The following is a 17,762-nucleotide window of genomic DNA, read 5'->3' on the forward strand; positions in this document are numbered from 1 at the left end:
AACCTCACTTAGGCTTTTGATGCAATTAATAAATTTCCATCATTAATGTAAGGGGGAGCCATCATTAAAATCATTTATCCCACTAGATGTTTGTACTGGTTATACATTCTTTGCAGGAGCATGATGATAGCATTTAGAAACCCTAAATACAGTGGTACTCGGAATTTGTTGTTTCCATGCTTCATGACCTTATACACGTTGCTCAGGCTCTTTAAGCACAAGTTTTCTCAAGTCTTTGATACCAGTAAACTCCCTCTTGCCTATTTCATAGGAAGGCTTTGAAGCTCAAAATAAACTTTTAAAATAGAAACACTTTTTAAATCACAATTTTAAGAAATAAAGACATTTTGAAAATTATCAAAGACTAAAAATATAAAGTTACATTATTATTTGCAAAGGAAAAAAGTTCTGGTGCCGAAATGTCTCAAATAAATATATGTATGGCCTCCCTGCAGGGAAGGACAAGAATGTATAACTCTTGCCACACCCTCTAGTTCTCCAAAAGACTAATGACAGGATTAATACATGTTTTTCGACTAAATTTTTCTTTGGGAAGGGCTAGTGATATCAGTTACTGCCATAAACTTGTAATTTTGAAAATATTTTATCAACATTTGCTTTATTTTTCATCCTAGCTGTCTAAACATCTACATGCATCAAAAATTTACCATGAAAATGTCAAGATCTCTTACATTTTATATGCAAATGAGCACAACTTTAGGATTTCATTAAGAAGGAGTGAAGACTTTGAATCAAGTTTAACATAATGAACGTTCACACCAGATAAGTCACTACTCACGCACTTGAAACCTGCTTTTCCCAAGTACCCTCTAAGACTATGGGGTTCTAGATAATAGCATTAATGGTCTTGCTATAGAGTTTCACTGCAGATCAAGTTGCGTGGTCCTGAAATAGTTACTTAGTTTGCCCCTATGTGAAATCATAATTTCCCAAATGATAATGTAAAATCACATGCGTAACTTACTAACGTATATATTTCTGCACATTAATTTTTGGATTAATTAAATGCTTACAACAGAATGTTCTTTGTCGAGACTTCTGATTCTTTCAGCTTCATCTTCTAGTTGAAGCAGAGGTTCCTGTAGTTCTGCCAGTGACATGGCACATATTGCTCTATTTTTTATAAGCTCTTTCCGCTCAAGTGCCTGGACTTCGTAAATGGAATATAGTTTTTTCTGCCAGCAAAGATTTTAAATAAATCATTCAGTTATTAACTTAAACATTTATTGAGCCTCTTATTCAGTGACAGGCAGTAATATTTGTTTTTATTTGAAAATCAAATAATACAATAAATGTCACCATAAAAAATGGATACGAATGTAATATATATTACATATATTATATTACATATATTATAATATCCAAAAATCTCATGGATGTAATATAATATAATATATATATGCTTTTTTTAAATTTTTTGAGGCAGAGTCTTGCTCTGTCACCCAGCCTGGAGTTCAGTGGCATAATCTCTGTTCACTACAACCTCCACCTCCCGGGTATAAGCGATTCTTCTGCCTCAGCCTTCTCAGTAGCTGGAATTACAGGCCTGTACCATGCCCGGCTAATTTTTGTATTTTTAATAGATAAGGGGTTTTGCCATGTTGGCCAGGCTGGTCTCGAACTCCTGACCTCAAGCGATCCACCCGCCTTGGCCTCCCAAAGTGCTGGGATTACAGGCGTGAGCCACCACACACTGCCGAATGTAGTATATTTAAAGATAATACAGTTATTGTTAGAAGGAATGAGAGAAACACTTTAATAGACAATAAAAATCAAACATTTAAAAAAATATTTCCCAGCCCAAAATGTCAAAATCAATCATTCTTAAGTAAGGATTGGAGGACACCAAGTTAGAGAACACACTAATAACACATCGTGGAATATATGCAAGTACTGCAATATAAGACAAAACCAACTAACAGGTCTTTCCAGTTAGACACTTAGAAATAAAACATACGTATAGAAATAAATGAGGAAGTTTAGTGTTTTGAAACATATAGAAGCAAACACTGCTTCTATGTTTGAAAATGCCAAATTTCATAACAGAAAAAAATTACAAAATTTAGGTTTACTTCCAAGAGAAGCAGAGGTGTAGATCATCTCAAAAAACACTGTTAGGGCCGGGCGTGGTGGCTCACGCCTGTAATCCCAGCACTTTGGGAGGCTGAGGCAGGCGGATCACCTGAGGTCAGGAGTTCGAGACCAGCCTGACCAAAATGGAGAAACCCTGTCTCTACTAAAAATACAAAATTAGCTGGGCATGGTGGTGCATGCCTGTAATCCCAGCTACTCGGGAGGCTGAGGCAGGAGAATCACTTGAACCTGGGAGGCAGAGGTTATGGTGAGCCAAGATCGTGCCACTGCACTCCAGCCTGGCGACAGAGCAAGACTCTTTCTCAAAAAAACAAAAACAGAAACCCACCAACAAACAAAAACACTGAAACTGTTTTGACTCTTGTTTTTTTTCTTATAATAATAATACTAATTTCAAATATGTAAGTATTTCTAAAGGGGAGGCATTCTAGAAACACGGCATGGATCAAAAAACCCAATCTGGATTCCAAAGGATATGCAGGTGGTAGACAAAGATTTTAAAAATTCAAGTTGTTTTTGCCAGCTTACATGCTTTATTTTCAAAATCTCTATATGGAAGTATCAAAGCATATTTTTCTTTCAGGGTTAAATAAACAAATCCAAGTGAAAGACACTAACAGTAAAGAAAACATAACATCACCACAAAGCAAACTAAAGAGTCAGACACTTAAAAATAAGATCCCACTGCTCTTTTACTAGACTGGCAGAAATTCCCATTATGCCACAAAATGAGATATGTATATGGGAGGTCAATTTCTTTATGCATGATCAGACACTGCTGGTTGTACACAGAGGGCAACTGCCATCAGCTAAGGAGAGAAAACTGCTGGCTTGCAAACCAAGTAGTGACAAGATGCCTCATTACAGGCAAATTTAAAATGCTAAGTAAAATGCAAATTAAAGGAAGAATAAAATATTAAAACCAAATCAGTATTACCTGAAGCACCATTCCAGCAGCCACTTCACCTTGAGTGAGTTTTTTCAGGAATTCTTCTCTACCCTATATGTTAGGAAATTTTTAAAATGAGGATTTTCTTCATAAAACATCAAAAACATTTTTTAAAACAATTGCTAATATAAGACACATTTTTAATGTTTCAATATAGAGTAAAATATTAATTATAATTTATTATATGTATTTTTAAAATCCTGGTGTTTTTCGAGGTAAAGTAATTAAGTGGTACAGCACCAGGAATTAGACTACAAAATTTCAGTCTTTCCAGTTTGCATTTTATAGTCCTAAACTTAAAAAATCAAAGTAATAAGAAAGTGAAACAAGGTAGTCATCAATTTCTCCTTTTAAAAACTATCAGTTTGTTTTTAATATTACTTTCTGGAATAAACACAATCAACTTTCAAAACAAGATAGATGCAAGTCAAGTGTGAAGTGTGCAAAATAAGAGCAGACTCTCCATTTAGCTAGAACAATTCCTTTTTTTTTTTTTTAAATCATACCTTTCAAGTTTGTAGGGAAAAAATTTGGAAAAATCTTTTCTTTGCTACCTGGAAAAATTGTTGTAAATTGTTCATAGATTTGCTTTAAATTATCACGCAAAACCAGAATTGGAAGTAGTTCATAAAGTTCCTTCTGTCTTAAAATTACATCTTGGAACCCCTGATTTGAGGGAGGAGTTGGCTGGGATTTAGGATGTCCTCCAGATTCAAAAGATATATGTATGTGTGTGTGTGTGTGTGTGTGTGTATATATATATATATATATATATACACACACACACACACACATAGTTTTGCAAGGAGGAACAATAAAAATTCAGAAATGTCTCTGATACCCCTACTTCAATACTGAATCCCTCATCATATCCCAGGGTCTATAGAGACAATACAAAGAAACAAGCCAGCAGGCCTCTGCTCTAACACTTTCTCTACTCAATATAGCAAACCAGCAAAATTATGTTTACCTCAAGCAAAAGAATAATTCCAAAGAAGGAAACATGAAGGTGGTAAATAAAGCAGTAACTTTGATATATCATTTTACTTAAGGATATATCTACATCTAAAATGAATTTATGCAACAATACGTTTTGATAATTTTAAATAGATTAGCGACCTCTTCTAACATGATAGCAGATACAGCACAGTTTTTCAGTTTGTTTATTATTTAATAGAAATGGAACAAAATTCAAAATGGCTTTGTAGACTGGAGAAAAATATATCATATTCCAAAATAGCTCGATTTGACCTTTGTCTGAAACTAATTGAAAAATGTGTATGTATGGGCATGTGTGCTTTTGTTGTGTTTTATGTGTTAGAGAAAAGACTTGGTGAATGAGGTGAAGCTGAAGAAACAAACAACTCTTAGATTATGCAGAACCTTCCAGGTACATTAATAAAATTAGTGAAGAATGGTAAGCAAAGTGTGTGTTTTAGATCACTCTGGTTACAATATGGATTGATTCATTTGTGTTTCCTTAATATTCACTCATCCATTCATTCTTTGAAGTTTTTTTGTTTGTTTTTTTAATTGTCAACTAGTGAGAAAGCAAGTTATTATTGAAATGAATTCAAGTCACTTAAATTGGATAAATTAATATTGTTTGAAAAGAACTTGTGGATGTGTGGCTTGGAAAGAACTGCAGGCAGTATATGAGACATTTAAATAGATAAGAAGCCTGAAGCTGCAAGAATAAGACACTTGTATTTCTCTGAAAAGAAGAAAGATACTACATTTGAAATCTGTGTACAAAACCAACTCAGCCTGTTACCAGTGGACAAATTTGTACACTGCATGGGCAAAACATCTGGAGCTTCTGTCTAGCGTCTCAAAGAACTTTACCAAGCTCCATTTTCTACCATGCCCCCAAACCTCTGTGATCCAGACAGCCAGGTTAAATGACCAGTCACCAGGAGAGAAAGTATTTATCACTGGCTGGGCTGCCAATTGCATACTTACACAAGACCCAACACCACAGGGAGTGTTTCCAGGCAGATGCTCAAGGCCTTCCTATGAGACGGTCCTCTTTACAGAAAATGGTCTACCCAAAGCACTGGGAAAATGCCAAGAGGCTACACAGTTTCTGAGAGAACTACTGAATACTTTCAAAACACCACAGAGTACCCCAAAGACTGATACAGGGAGAGCTCTGATGGTCAAAGGTCTTAGATTACAGGTCCAACATCTGAGAGAGGGGATTTATTTGTTTTCCCATCCTATTATCACAGGCATTGTTCCCTGTAAAGCTGACTCTAGAGTTAAGTTTAGTGTATAGGATACTTATTAAGGAGCATATTTGGAATCAACTCCTGTGGACAGGAGAGGAATGAAGCAGGATTGGACAGAAACATAGGCTGAGCTGCCATAGACTCCCAACAACAACCTCGATCAACTCCACAGCAAACCATGAGCAATAATGGACCATCAGATTTGCCCCAAGTTGGACTAAGGTAGCAAGGCTATCATTCTATTTTTATTGGTCATTAAATGTGAGCTACCCCAGGAACAGGAATGACCTTAAGCAAAGTGACTGAGATGATTCCTGAAGGAGAATCTGGGCAGTTACATTCACATAACAATATAAATGCCATGTGTTCCCTCAATGATAAAACTACCATTTGTACTACTCCTAGTAATGATGGCTAAGATACATTATATGCTTTCTGGTAGAATTATCTTGTCTTAACTTCACAATGAAATCTATAAAATAGTTATGATTGTCCCTTTTGCACATAGGAAAACTGACAGAGAGATTACATAAATTGACCAAGCACACAAAGCTGGCAATTGATGGAACCAGGATACTAATTTACACAATGTGACAGAGAGCATCTCAGTGACACCCAGATATGTAGGAACCCTCAAAGTTATAGGAATATTTAATGTAGAGCCTTCTGACTCTCATGTGCCCCTTTTCTTGTAGGGCCTCCTTTAACATGAGGCTTTCCAGGCAAATGGGACACCTCTTTGAATTCTGAATCTTAGCCACCTATAGTTGAGACTGAAGAACTGAGACTTTGGGTGAAAGGGTTCCAATTAGCTAGTGATGCCATAGTTGGTTCTAAAATGGAATCTGCTAGAAACTTATGGGCTCCTGGGGAGATACTACCTTTCATTATTCAACATGAATTATGTAGCTGCTGAGAAAAAGCCAGGGTTAAATGAGTTCAAATTACCAAGAGGAAAAATGTCACAAGAACTATAGTGTGGTCTGCTTAGTGAAATACTGATTGCCTACATTGGGCAAAATCCTCTAACCTAAGGCTATTTTATAATAACATGTTGAATAGCTCACGTAATTTATCGAATGCCATACTGAGAGAGAGAAAAACAGAATGGCTGTATGAGTGCTCAAAGTATGGTCTCCACTGAATATGCATCACTTTCACACCATGGTAAAGTTGAAAAACTGTAAGTGGAACCACATTAACTCAGAGGCTGTGTGTGTGTGTGTGTGTGTGTGTGTAAGTTAATTATCATATCCATTAGTGAAATAGCTATTATCCACTTTCAAATATGATAAAACCGAGGTCTAAGGTCATGGAATTTGTCACAGGACCAGTCTTCAAACATGTATCAGCACCAGGACTGCCTGCTACTAGAGCCTGGACACATTCTACAGCTCTTCACAGTAAGCTCCCTCCTCTATCTCCTTGGCTGCTAGCACTTTGTCTGTTATATAATATTTGCCAAATGAATAATTTATTGAGCAAATGGGTTTATGATTAACAAACAAGCTTGCTTTTGATCTCTAGGTTGGGGAATTAAATTGTAAAAGTTTCAGATTCTTTCAAATTAAAAAGATGTTATTTTTTAAAAAAAATCTTTATATGAGGAGAAGCTCAGGGCCCATTACAACGTCACAATCACATTTATATATAGCATCTTTAAGATGGATGATACAACAAGGCCTTTGAGATGTTTTTCCTGAGATGTGGAGAGATGGGACAGGTGGTAGAAAAGACAGTGAGGTTGATTCTGACTTAGGATTGCATGCAATATATATTCCTAAAGTATAAATACCTGAAAAAGCACTGAAGGAAGACTGCCTTCTCCAGAAACGTGGCCTGTGGCCCAGCTTGTGCTAAACGTTCAAGTTCTTCAAATTGCCAATTCATTGTAAAGGGAACGAAAGCCCAGAAAAATTGCCACTTAGCAACTGTTCCAATAATGGATTCTACTAAGGATCACTGATAGATTCTAAATCCACTGGGTGAAATGTGTTGGGAAAAAATAGCCATGTATTCTTAAATATCACTCAATTGATTACTTATTAATTACAATGGGGAAATGAATACATTTCTTGACCATAACTTTAACCAACTGATCAAACTTAATATCACTGATAATGAGACAAACATAGACCATGTGCTTGTGGACACAATATTATATTATTGTAATTATGTTATATTCCTGCCAGATGTGTTTAACTTGTATCTAATTATGAAGAAACAAAAGGATAAATCCATATTGAGAAAAATCCTGCAAAGTAACTGGCCTAGACTCTTAAAAATGTAACGTAGTGAAAGACAACTTTTTAAAAAAAAGGTAGAGATTTTTTAAGATTAAAAGAGACTCAAAAGTTATAACAGATAAATACAATGCATGGGGCTCAATGACATATACCAACCAATTGAAATAGAGAAATTTGCATGTAGACTATGCATTTGTGCTCATTATCTAATTATTGCCTCTTAGCTCCAAATCTACTGTTTTTAACTCTGATCTGTGATAATGGAGGTGGATCCTGTGAGCAGTTTCCTTTTGCAGTTTTACTTTTGGAGTAAAGCTAGGCTTTATCAACAGAGGGCAGGGGACAGGCAGGCAGAGCTGCAGCAGCAAGGGGCGCTGTGTCCTGGTTCCTTGTTCCAGTGGACCGTTGTTATTTTCTCCATTCTCCTGCAGAACTGCCACCAGCTGGTGTGTGGGGAGGTTCTCTGCCCACAAACTCCATTCCACCTCCATCAAGTCTCTCCAGCAACACGCAGATAGCTGCTGCTGAACCCTATGTTGAGACACAACCCCACCCTCTCCAATAAAGCTTCACTCTGCTTGGGAGAGAGCAGCCTCTTCCATGCTTGTTCCTTCTTAGGGTGCTTTCTCTCAGCCCTCCAGGCACTGGCTGCTGCCTACATTTGCTATTCCTGTGTTCTTTAGAACAGAGATGGCAAACTTTTTTTGTAAAGGGCCAGATAGTAAATATTTTAAGCTTTGCGGATTAAGGTCTCTGTCACAACGACTCAATTCTGGTTTTGGAGAAAAGGAATAAAAGAGATCAAAGGATCACTTTGAAGAGCTTGGAAGAAGCCTGGAGCAAAGGAAGTGACAATATCTCAGAAGCTGGAAAGAGGGCACATTCAACAGTCACCTTTGACCTGCAGCCTGGTTTTAGCAGTCACAAACCAGAAGGTGGCAGCAGAGAGCTACACTGCTGGAATAGATTCCTGTACTAGGACAAAAGATAGCTGAAAGGAGGACAAACAGTCAATACTGAGTCCGGAAACCCACATTCAAAGAGAAAAAGGGAGCAACACTACATAAACAGATCTAACATCAGAATCAAAGAAATGGCTTCAGTTTCATTTCCAGTGACAGAGAAGCACTAAGAGCAAAGTTAGAGAATTTATGTTATGTAAGGTTTGAGATCAGGAAAGGAAGATGGATACTCTAAAGAATTACAATCTTAAAGCAAAATTTGAGATATGTTTAAGTGACTATGGGCTGGACTGAATTAGTGGGACCAGGTATCTCTGGCTATGGTTGTGCATTATTAGGAAACATTTTGGTGGCCAGGACCCTAACAGAAAGTATAGGTGGCAGCCCAACCTGATTCTATCTGAAAATAGGACATGACACTATGTTATCTTTCTTTTTGTACGAAAGTATATGTGTTTCTGGTGAAATATTTTAAATTACAAAAAGAAATAATACAAATATTCAAATCCACAGATACGCATTTTGACTTTTTGGTGTCATTTCTTTTTTAGGTCCTGAATTTAAAGTTATTATCTCTGGTAGAGTCAGTCTAACAAGATCTTTCTCATCTACTACAAAAGCAGAAGTCTCATTAATTTTTAAAAATTCTACATTGAATGAATTTATAATTTATCTTAATACTCATAGATTTAAACACTATTCTATTATTGAGAAATTTGTATATTTAAAATTTCCTATTATATGTTATTAGTATATATTCATGGTTTCCATAAATATTTATTGAGTATCTGTATAAGCACTGTTTAAGCACTGGAATGCAGCAGTGTATACAAAATAAACAATTATTGTTGACCTCATGAACCATGTTTTCAGTGGCTGTTACGTTAACTGTTAATAAACATCCTTAAACCTGCATCTCTGTTGGCTTTGTTCTTGGTTACTTTCTTAAAGTTGTATTTTTAGAAATAATGTTACTGAGTTACAGATTATGAATGTTAGGTTTTTTACATCTATTGATGAATTGCTTTCCAGAAAGCTCTAATTTACACTGAATTGGATACTTGAGCACCTATGAGTTGTTATAGCAAAATATCTTTACCAGTATCAAATATCAGTTTTTATATATGTAAAATTGGGATAACACTTTTTTTCATAAAATAAGTATGGGAGGTAAAAGAAGAAAATGTATATAAAGTAATATGCTTAAGGCATCACTCATATTAAGTACTCAACAAATAACTATCATTATGTTCAACGTGTTGTTTAGAACCCACGCATTTATCACAATTACTGGGAGACAGACTTAAGAGTAAAATATGTAGGTAAGTTGTTAAAGATTGTTTTTTTTTTATCCTGAACAACAAAGGTAGCCTCACGCTATAGGAGTATTTTTATGCTACTTATGCCTAATACCTTTAAGAATTTATTATTTGTCAGGCTCCAGGTTGAATGTTTTATACACAATATTATGTATTTATCACCCAAAGGTACCATATAGATACTGTTACATTTATTTAAGAGATGAGAAACCTAGACTAAGAAAAGTTAAGTATATTTTTAATATTCTTAGAGCCAATAATTAGCATAACCAGCCAGGATTTGAATTAAGAAACATCTGACTCTAAAGTCCATGCTTTTTCAATTGAACCACATTTCCTTTCAAACAGGAAGAAGAAAAGTAGAAACAAAGTTCAGATAATTAAATGGAAATACTGAAAAGTCAACTTGCCATCCAATTTCTGACAAGCAAAGTACTAACCCAGTAGAATGGAGAAGGAAATTATGTTCCCATATGATATTTATAGCAAGCTAAATAAAGTTTTATTATATTCTCAAATGTTTTGTACTATCAAGATCCATAAATGTTCAATGCTTTATTTCTATCACATTTTCATGTTTATTTACTTCCTCAAATGTGTCAGGAAAAATGAACTCTTCTGATGCTTGACCAAGGGGTTACTTAGCAGCCATTGTGGGACTTTAATCCTGCTGTACCTTCACACTATTTCTGTTTTCCTTGTATTCTCCTTCCCTTTTTCCCGGCAACCATTTCCCACTAATACAGATTACACATTCCCAATATTATGATTAATAGCAGATTCCTTTCCATTCAATTTTGGCAAAGTATTCTGCCTATGAATGGAGTGGAAAAGAATCTTAGTAAACGAAGACCAATGAAACAAGCAAAAAAATACCAGATCAAAGTTATAAATATGGAACAGAGAGAGATAAGGAAGTGATTATCCTAGAAACGTTCAGCATAAATAACTGAGCTTCTAAGCAGCTTAACTCAGAGAGAAATAAGAAAGTGTAGGGAACTCTTAATTATTAATTAAAAAGAAATAAATTTTATCAAGAAAAAACAACTTTTTTAGTTTGGAAATCTAAGGTCAATTACTTTTGTAGGTTTTTTTGAGCATATTGACAATATGACTAACTCCCTTATTAATTTGAAAAACCAAGAAGCAATGGTCAATCTTAGCCATTACTTTTACCAACCTTTATTAAAAGCCAAGGATGTGATAGCAATTCATAACTCAATAAAAGCTATTACATGTGGGACAAGAGTAATATGCTCCAGATTCGACATGCTATAAGGCATAAATCCTTTGGGATAAAAATTAATGAATTAATAGAATGTTCATTTTATAACTACTTAAAAATATTATCAGTCTTATCTGGAATTCTTATAGAAGTTGCATGGTGCATACATTAAGCTTTAGTTTATTAGATCTGTTTTGTTCTGTTGATTGAACTAAAGATGCTCTAAGTACTAGCAGAAATTATGCCCTCCAAGAAACTTTTGAGAAGGTTCTGACTTTTATTTTACTCAAAGGATGGGCCTATAAACCTTGTCTCAGAGGTGAACAAATAGTAGTTGAAGGGAGGTCTGAGAACATAAAGAACAGTTTGAGATTAGTTAAAATATCTGAAAAAGCACTCAAGGCAAGTCATAGACTTCTAAAGTTATGCACCAGATTACTGTGGACTGGAACTTTCTAAGGACTTGACACACTGTCTTTTTCTAGCATTGAAAACGACCCCCACCCCCAGTATGATTATTTTGAAGCTTTCAGCTTAACTGAATCTTTGTTGGTCACAATGTAAGTCTAATGTCTTACGACTCTACCAAGACTGGCATGAGATGTCCTGGTCCCTAAACTCTACACAGTCACCTAAAAGCTTACCTTGGGAAAATCCCTTTACTCCCAAAATGAATGTGTTAATAACAATTGCACAGTTTTGTGAATGTTAAATTAATTAGCATGTATAAGGGGTTTTTCATAAAATAGGCTTGAAGAAAACTCTTTATGTCTACTTTATTCCTTCCTTTTTACTAAGTTTCCACTTAGTTCTAGCACTATGATTCTAACCTGGAACCAGAGTGACCTGATGTTCTCACTTTTCCACCAGAATTCCATTATATTCAAGCAAAAAACCCTTCGAGATTATGCAGCTTGCATAGAAGATTTCAGCTGGAGTGCTAGGAAGTACTTAACAACTGGTGAAAGCTCTCAAAATTTTTGGTTGCAATGTCGCATTCTTTAGACAATTCTAGATGGTTTTCTGTTCATTCCATCAACACTATAATTGAATACATATTACTATTAAATTGACTTATTCCCTATCCCAATTGGCTAATTTTATTCTGACACTTGGCCAAACACCTCTTTTCTGAATAGGTCAGTTATTGGAATTGAAAATATGGAAAAACTGGGACAAATCATTTGTAATAGCTAAAAAATTAGAGAAAGTGCTAGACATACTTCTTGTTCAGGATTGCTTCTACTCTAAGACTGCCTAAAACTTATCTGGCATTTTACAGATGCATTAACTTGAGAGAACATAATTCATAAATTCTACCTCTAGAGTTTCAAAAGCCTATTTCTTGGAGCTACCCTAGAAGTGATATTCCTATAATTAATTTCTAGATGATGGATTAAAGATTAATTTCAGGCCAGGCTCAACAAATACAGAAAGTTACTTAAAAGGAAAACATAATTCTCAGATTTAGAGTGTTCTAAAGATTTTCATGAATCAGTCCATGAAAGATAATAGGGTCATTACACAGGCAAAAATTACAAACTTGAATTACTATAAACCTGAATTATCTAAGGAAAATCTAGAAATTTATTTTGAATTTATTTTGAACTCTGAAGCAGATATGCATGTGTATATTATAGAAGTTTTTAATGCCGTATATATTCAGGCTCAGAAATTAGCAGGAGTGATTAACCATTGGGAATGGTTTCTTAAGTGGACCAGTTTCTTTCTGTTGCTTCTTTCCAGTGATCAATCAGCTCCCATGAGGTAAGGAAACAACATGATGAATACTTTCTTTAATTTTGCATGAATAAAGAGAGAAAGGGAGAGTGACATCAACAAGATGGCTCACTAGAAGTGCCTGGAGTTCATCCGCACCCCAAAAAGAACCAAAGCAACAAATAAATAATGAAGATTTGAATGCAGTGTCAAAGAGAGAATGCTGGAGTGGAGCAGGGGAGTGGAGAGGCAACTCTGGTAATTGGAAGTCCAAGAGAGCAGCACGAAGGCACCTGGCCTCTGCAGCCCCATCTCCTGTTCCTGAATCAGATGGGCCCAAAACTAGGGGCAACTTCCCTTTGCAGGAAAAAGGTAAACAGAGGAACCTCATCAGCCCCCACTGCCACTGTAAATACCTACAGTATTTACTACAAGATAATTCCACAGTCCTCATAAGCCCTGAGCCCAGTTTGGAGAGCTGCTGAAAATTTATACTGTTGCATTGCTTCAAATTAGAGGAACAACTTATGCACTCCCCCAACTCCCACCCACCTCCTGTGAGCCAAGCTGCTGCAGCACAGCACTGTCTTGATACCAGAGCCACCTCTAGAGTGTACCCTTCTCTGGAGGCCAGTAGCCACTGCACCTCTGCAGCAATGGCGCTCCATCTTCATTCCAAGCCCAGTGGCTACACTCTACAACCCTAGCTGTGTGGAGCCTGGGTCAAGGATTGGCTGTGACTCTGGTCCTGCACATCATGGAAACCAACCCCTCCACCCCCAGCACTTCCATCTAGGAAAGGATCTGAGTCCCACCCAGGGCAAACCCACCCTTGAACCAGCCAAACTAGTGCATGTCCACCCCTGAGTAGAAAAGGTCCCCGAGCCAATAAACAGCTGGTCTGCCCCTAGGCCAGCCAAGAAACCATACAGCCATGTCAGAGGCTTGAGAAACAGCTCCATGGGTTTCCACAGAAAACATGCTGCCAGGCCAGCTGATCAGCTTTGTGCCCATGTCGACTCGATAAACAGCCTCTTGTCCCTCCCCTCCCCCTGGCTGAAATGCCCCCCATACCAACCAAGCATCTGCATGCCCATGTTCTAGGCCTGAGAAACAACACCATGGGCCACCTCTAGCAAACACAACTCCAGGCCAGCGAGGAAACCATATGGCCATGTGCTGGGCATGAGAAACGGCCCCACAGGCCACCCCTGGCAGACATGCCTCTAGGTTGGCCAAGTGGCTGTGAACCTGGTCCCAAGACTGAAAAAAACAAAAAAAAAAACATAAATAAAACATGGGTTGCCCTGAAGACACACCTGAAGGCAGTTGAGCAACTGCATGCCCATACTTCCAGACAGAGTAACAGCCCTGTGGCCTCAACCCCAGTGAGCCAGACCCTAAGTTAGCTGACCCATCATGTGTACACATGTGTCCCTGATCTGAGAAACAGCCCAGTGAGTCCACTCTTAACAAAGTCACACCACCACAGATTCTCTCAGCTTAGGCAAGTGAGACACTTGCAAATGTCACTAGCATAGATTACAGCTGAAGAAACTACATAGAGACTACATTACTGTATCCACCTGGGACTAAATACAACAAACTCTAAAAAACTGATACCCCAAGACTCATCAACATGAATAAGTTTCCCTACATAACGTACTCCATAAAATCGGAAGAGCCAACTGTCCCACCAGATGCACAGATACCAACATAAGGAAACAATAAACATGAAAAAGCAAGGAAAAATGACACCTTCAAAGGAAGACAATAATTCTCCAGTAACATACCCCAATAATAAAGAAATATATAAAATGCCAGAAAAAGAATTCAAAATAATAATCATAAGGAAACTCAGAGAGATACAAGAGAATACAGATAGTTCAATAAAATCAGGAAACAATTTATGATTTGAATGATAAATACAACAAAGATATAGATATTATTAAAAAAGAACCAAACAGAAAACTAGAGCTGAATAATATGGTAAATGAAATAAAAAAAATAGAATCAAGAGCTTCAATAATAGACTAGTACAAGAAGAAGGCAGAATTTATGAACCTGAAGACAAGTCTTTTGAAATAACAAGGCAGAGGAAAACAATGAAAAGAATGACACCATTAATGGGACAGCATAAATGAACATACATTTGTATTATGGGCATTCCAGAAGAAGAAAATAGAAAGATGTAGAAAACATGTTTAATGAAATAATAGGTGAACACTTCCAAAGTCATGAGAGAGAGATGGACATCTAGATCCAGGAAGCTCAAATAATGCCAAATAGATTCAACATAACAAGTCCTGTCATAGGCACATTGTAGTCACATTGTCCAAAGTCAAAGACAGAACAAATTTAAAAAGAGCAAGAGAAAAGCATCGTCACATATAAGAATTTGCTATAAGACTAACAGTGGATTTGCCAGGAGAAATCTTTCAAATCAGGAGATAATGGGATGGTATATTTAAAAGGCTTAAAAAAAACCCCTGCCAGCCAAGAATATTCTATCCAGCAAAGCTATCATTCAGAAATGAAAAAGAAAAGTATTCTACAGAACAGAAAACCTAAGGAAATTCATCACCACTAAATAGGCCTTAAAAGAAAGGCCCAATAGGTTTCACATCTGGTGGTGAAAAAACAATAACTATCAGGAAAACATGCAAAACTATAAGACTCACTGGCAGAGCCAATATACACAGTAGAAAGAGAAAAGAGTCAAACCTTATTACTACAGAAAACAACCCAATCACAAAAATAAACAGTAAAAGATGAAGTAAGAAACATAGGACATACAAAACAACCAGAAAACAATCACTAACATGACAGGATTAATTCCTCATTTATCAATAATAACCTTGAAAATAAACAAATTAAATTCCTCATTTAAAAGATATAGACCAACTGGATTGACTAAAAAAGACCCAACTATATGCTGCCTACAGGAAACTTACTTCATTAACCTGTAATGACACAAAGACTGAAAGTGACGTGGTTAAAAAAAAAAAAAAAGATTTCACACAAACAGAAACCAAAAGTGAGCAAGAATAGCTGTACTTATATCAGACAAATCAGACTTCAAATGAAAAACTGTAAAAAGAGACAAAGGAAAACATATACTAAAAAAGATTAATTCAGTAAGAGAAAATTTGTAAACACATACACTCACATATATACCTAATGCCAGAGCACCCAGATATATAAAGCAACTATTATTAGATCTAAAGAGAGATTGATCTAATACATTAATAGTTGTGGATGTTAACAACCCACTCTCAGCACTGGACAGACCACCTAGACAAAAACCCAACAAAGAAATATGGGATCTAAATAGCACCATTGACCAAATGGACCTAACAGATATTTAGAGAATGTTTAGAGCTATTTCAATATTTAGAGAACATTTCATTGAACAGCTGCAGAATACATTCTTTTCATCAGCACATGAAATATTCTCCAGGATCAATCATATGTTTAGACACAAAAAAATCTTAAAACATTTTTAAAATTAAAATTAAAATTATATCAAGTATCTTCTCTGACCACTTACAAGAAAACTAGAAATTGATAATAAGTAGAAGATTAAAACTATACAAATGCATGGCATTTAAACAATATGCTTCTGAAAGACCAATGGGTGAAGGAAGAAATTAAGAATAAAATTGAAAAATTCACTGAAACAAATAAAAATAAAAAAATATATCAACATTTATAGGGCACAGCAAAAGCAGTTTTAACAGCCAAGTTCATAGCACTAAATGCATACACTACTTAGAAAGATTTGAAATAAAAATGTAATGATCTCAAGGAACTAAAACAGCAAGAACAAAACAAACCCAAAGTTAGAAGGAAATAAATAATAAAGATGAAAGCAGAAATAAATGAAACTGAGACTAAAAATACAGTACAAAAATCAATGGAACAAAAAGTCGATGTTTTGAGAAAATAAACAAAATTGAGAAAAAGCTAGACTAAGAAAAAAAGAGAGAAGACATAAATGAATACAATCAGAAACAAAATGGAAACATCACAATAGATAACAACAGAAATAAAAAGGATCATTAGAAACTTCAATGAACAGTTATACACTAATAAATATGAAAACCTAGAGGAAATGGATACATACAATCTACCAAGATTGAATCAAGAAGAAAAGGAAAACGTAAGCAGGCCAATAACAAGTAACAAGATTGAATCAGTTCTAAAAAGTATTCCAACAGAGAAAAATTCAGGACTAGATGTCTTCACTGCTGAATTCTACTAACCTTTAAGGCAGAATTGAAACAATTTCTTCTGAAACTATTCCACAAAATTAAGGCAGAGAAAATTCTTCCTAGGTCATTCTATGAGGCCAGCATAACCTCAATATCAAATACACATGAGGAAAACAAAAAATTAAAACTGCAGGCCAATATGTATGAAAATAGAGGCAATAACTTAAACAAAACACTAGCAAACTGAATCCAACAGCGCATCAAAAAGATATTACACCATAATCAAGTGAAATTTATCCAGGAATGAAAATATGGTTCAACACATGTAAATTAATAAATGTGATACATACATCAGCAGAAGAAAGGACAAAAAGCACATGGTTATCTTAATAGATGCAGAAAAAGCATTTTATAAAATTCAACATCTCTTCATGATAAAACCTCATAATAAATTAGGTACAGAAGGAAAATATCTCAACACAATAAGGTCCATATATGACAAACCCACAACTAAGATCATACTGAGTGGGGAAAAGCTAAACGTCTTTCCTCTAGGAACTAAACAAGACAAGCAAGCCCACTCTTAACCAATCTCATTCAATATACCACTAGAAGTCCTAGTCAGAGCAATTGGGCAAGAAAAATAAACAAAGGCATCCAAACTGAAAAGGAGAAAATCAAATTGACCCTCTTTGCAGATTATATGATCGTGTGTGTGTGTGTGTGTGTGTGTGTGTGTGTGTGTGTGTAGAGAGAGACTCTACCAAAAAAATTGTAGAACT

The 17,762-nt window shown here is 35.8% G+C and overlaps 1 protein-coding gene across 8 annotated transcripts in view, besides 1 other annotated feature; it reads right to left on the reverse strand.

Annotated features, from left to right (window-relative positions):
* Window positions 1-17,762, reverse strand: part of CCDC178 (coiled-coil domain containing 178) — a 503,635-nt gene that overhangs the window by 286,335 nt on the left and 199,538 nt on the right. For all 8 annotated transcript variants that reach the window (NM_001371120.1, NM_198995.3, XM_011525951.2 and 5 more), the window contains 2 exons: window positions 3,053-3,115; window positions 1,035-1,196 (listed from right to left, as the gene is read on the reverse strand). In NM_001371120.1, the coding sequence (NP_001358049.1) occupies window positions 1,035-1,196; window positions 3,053-3,115 (225 nt within the window). The remainder of the gene's footprint in view (window positions 1-1,034; window positions 1,197-3,052; window positions 3,116-17,762) is intronic.
* Window positions 7,805-8,099: an enhancer, noted in NCBI's record as "tiled region #1696; K562 Activating non-DNase unmatched - State 13:Ctcf". NCBI's record gives its function as "activates a minimal TATA promoter and a strong SV40 promoter by Sharpr-MPRA in K562 cells {active_cell/tissue: K562}" and the evidence as "EXISTENCE:reporter gene assay evidence [ECO:0000049][PMID:27701403]".

The sequence above is a fragment of the Homo sapiens genome, chromosome 18 (assembly GCF_000001405.40).
Source record: "Homo sapiens chromosome 18, GRCh38.p14 Primary Assembly".
Classification (NCBI taxonomy): domain Eukaryota; kingdom Metazoa; phylum Chordata; class Mammalia; order Primates; family Hominidae; genus Homo; species Homo sapiens.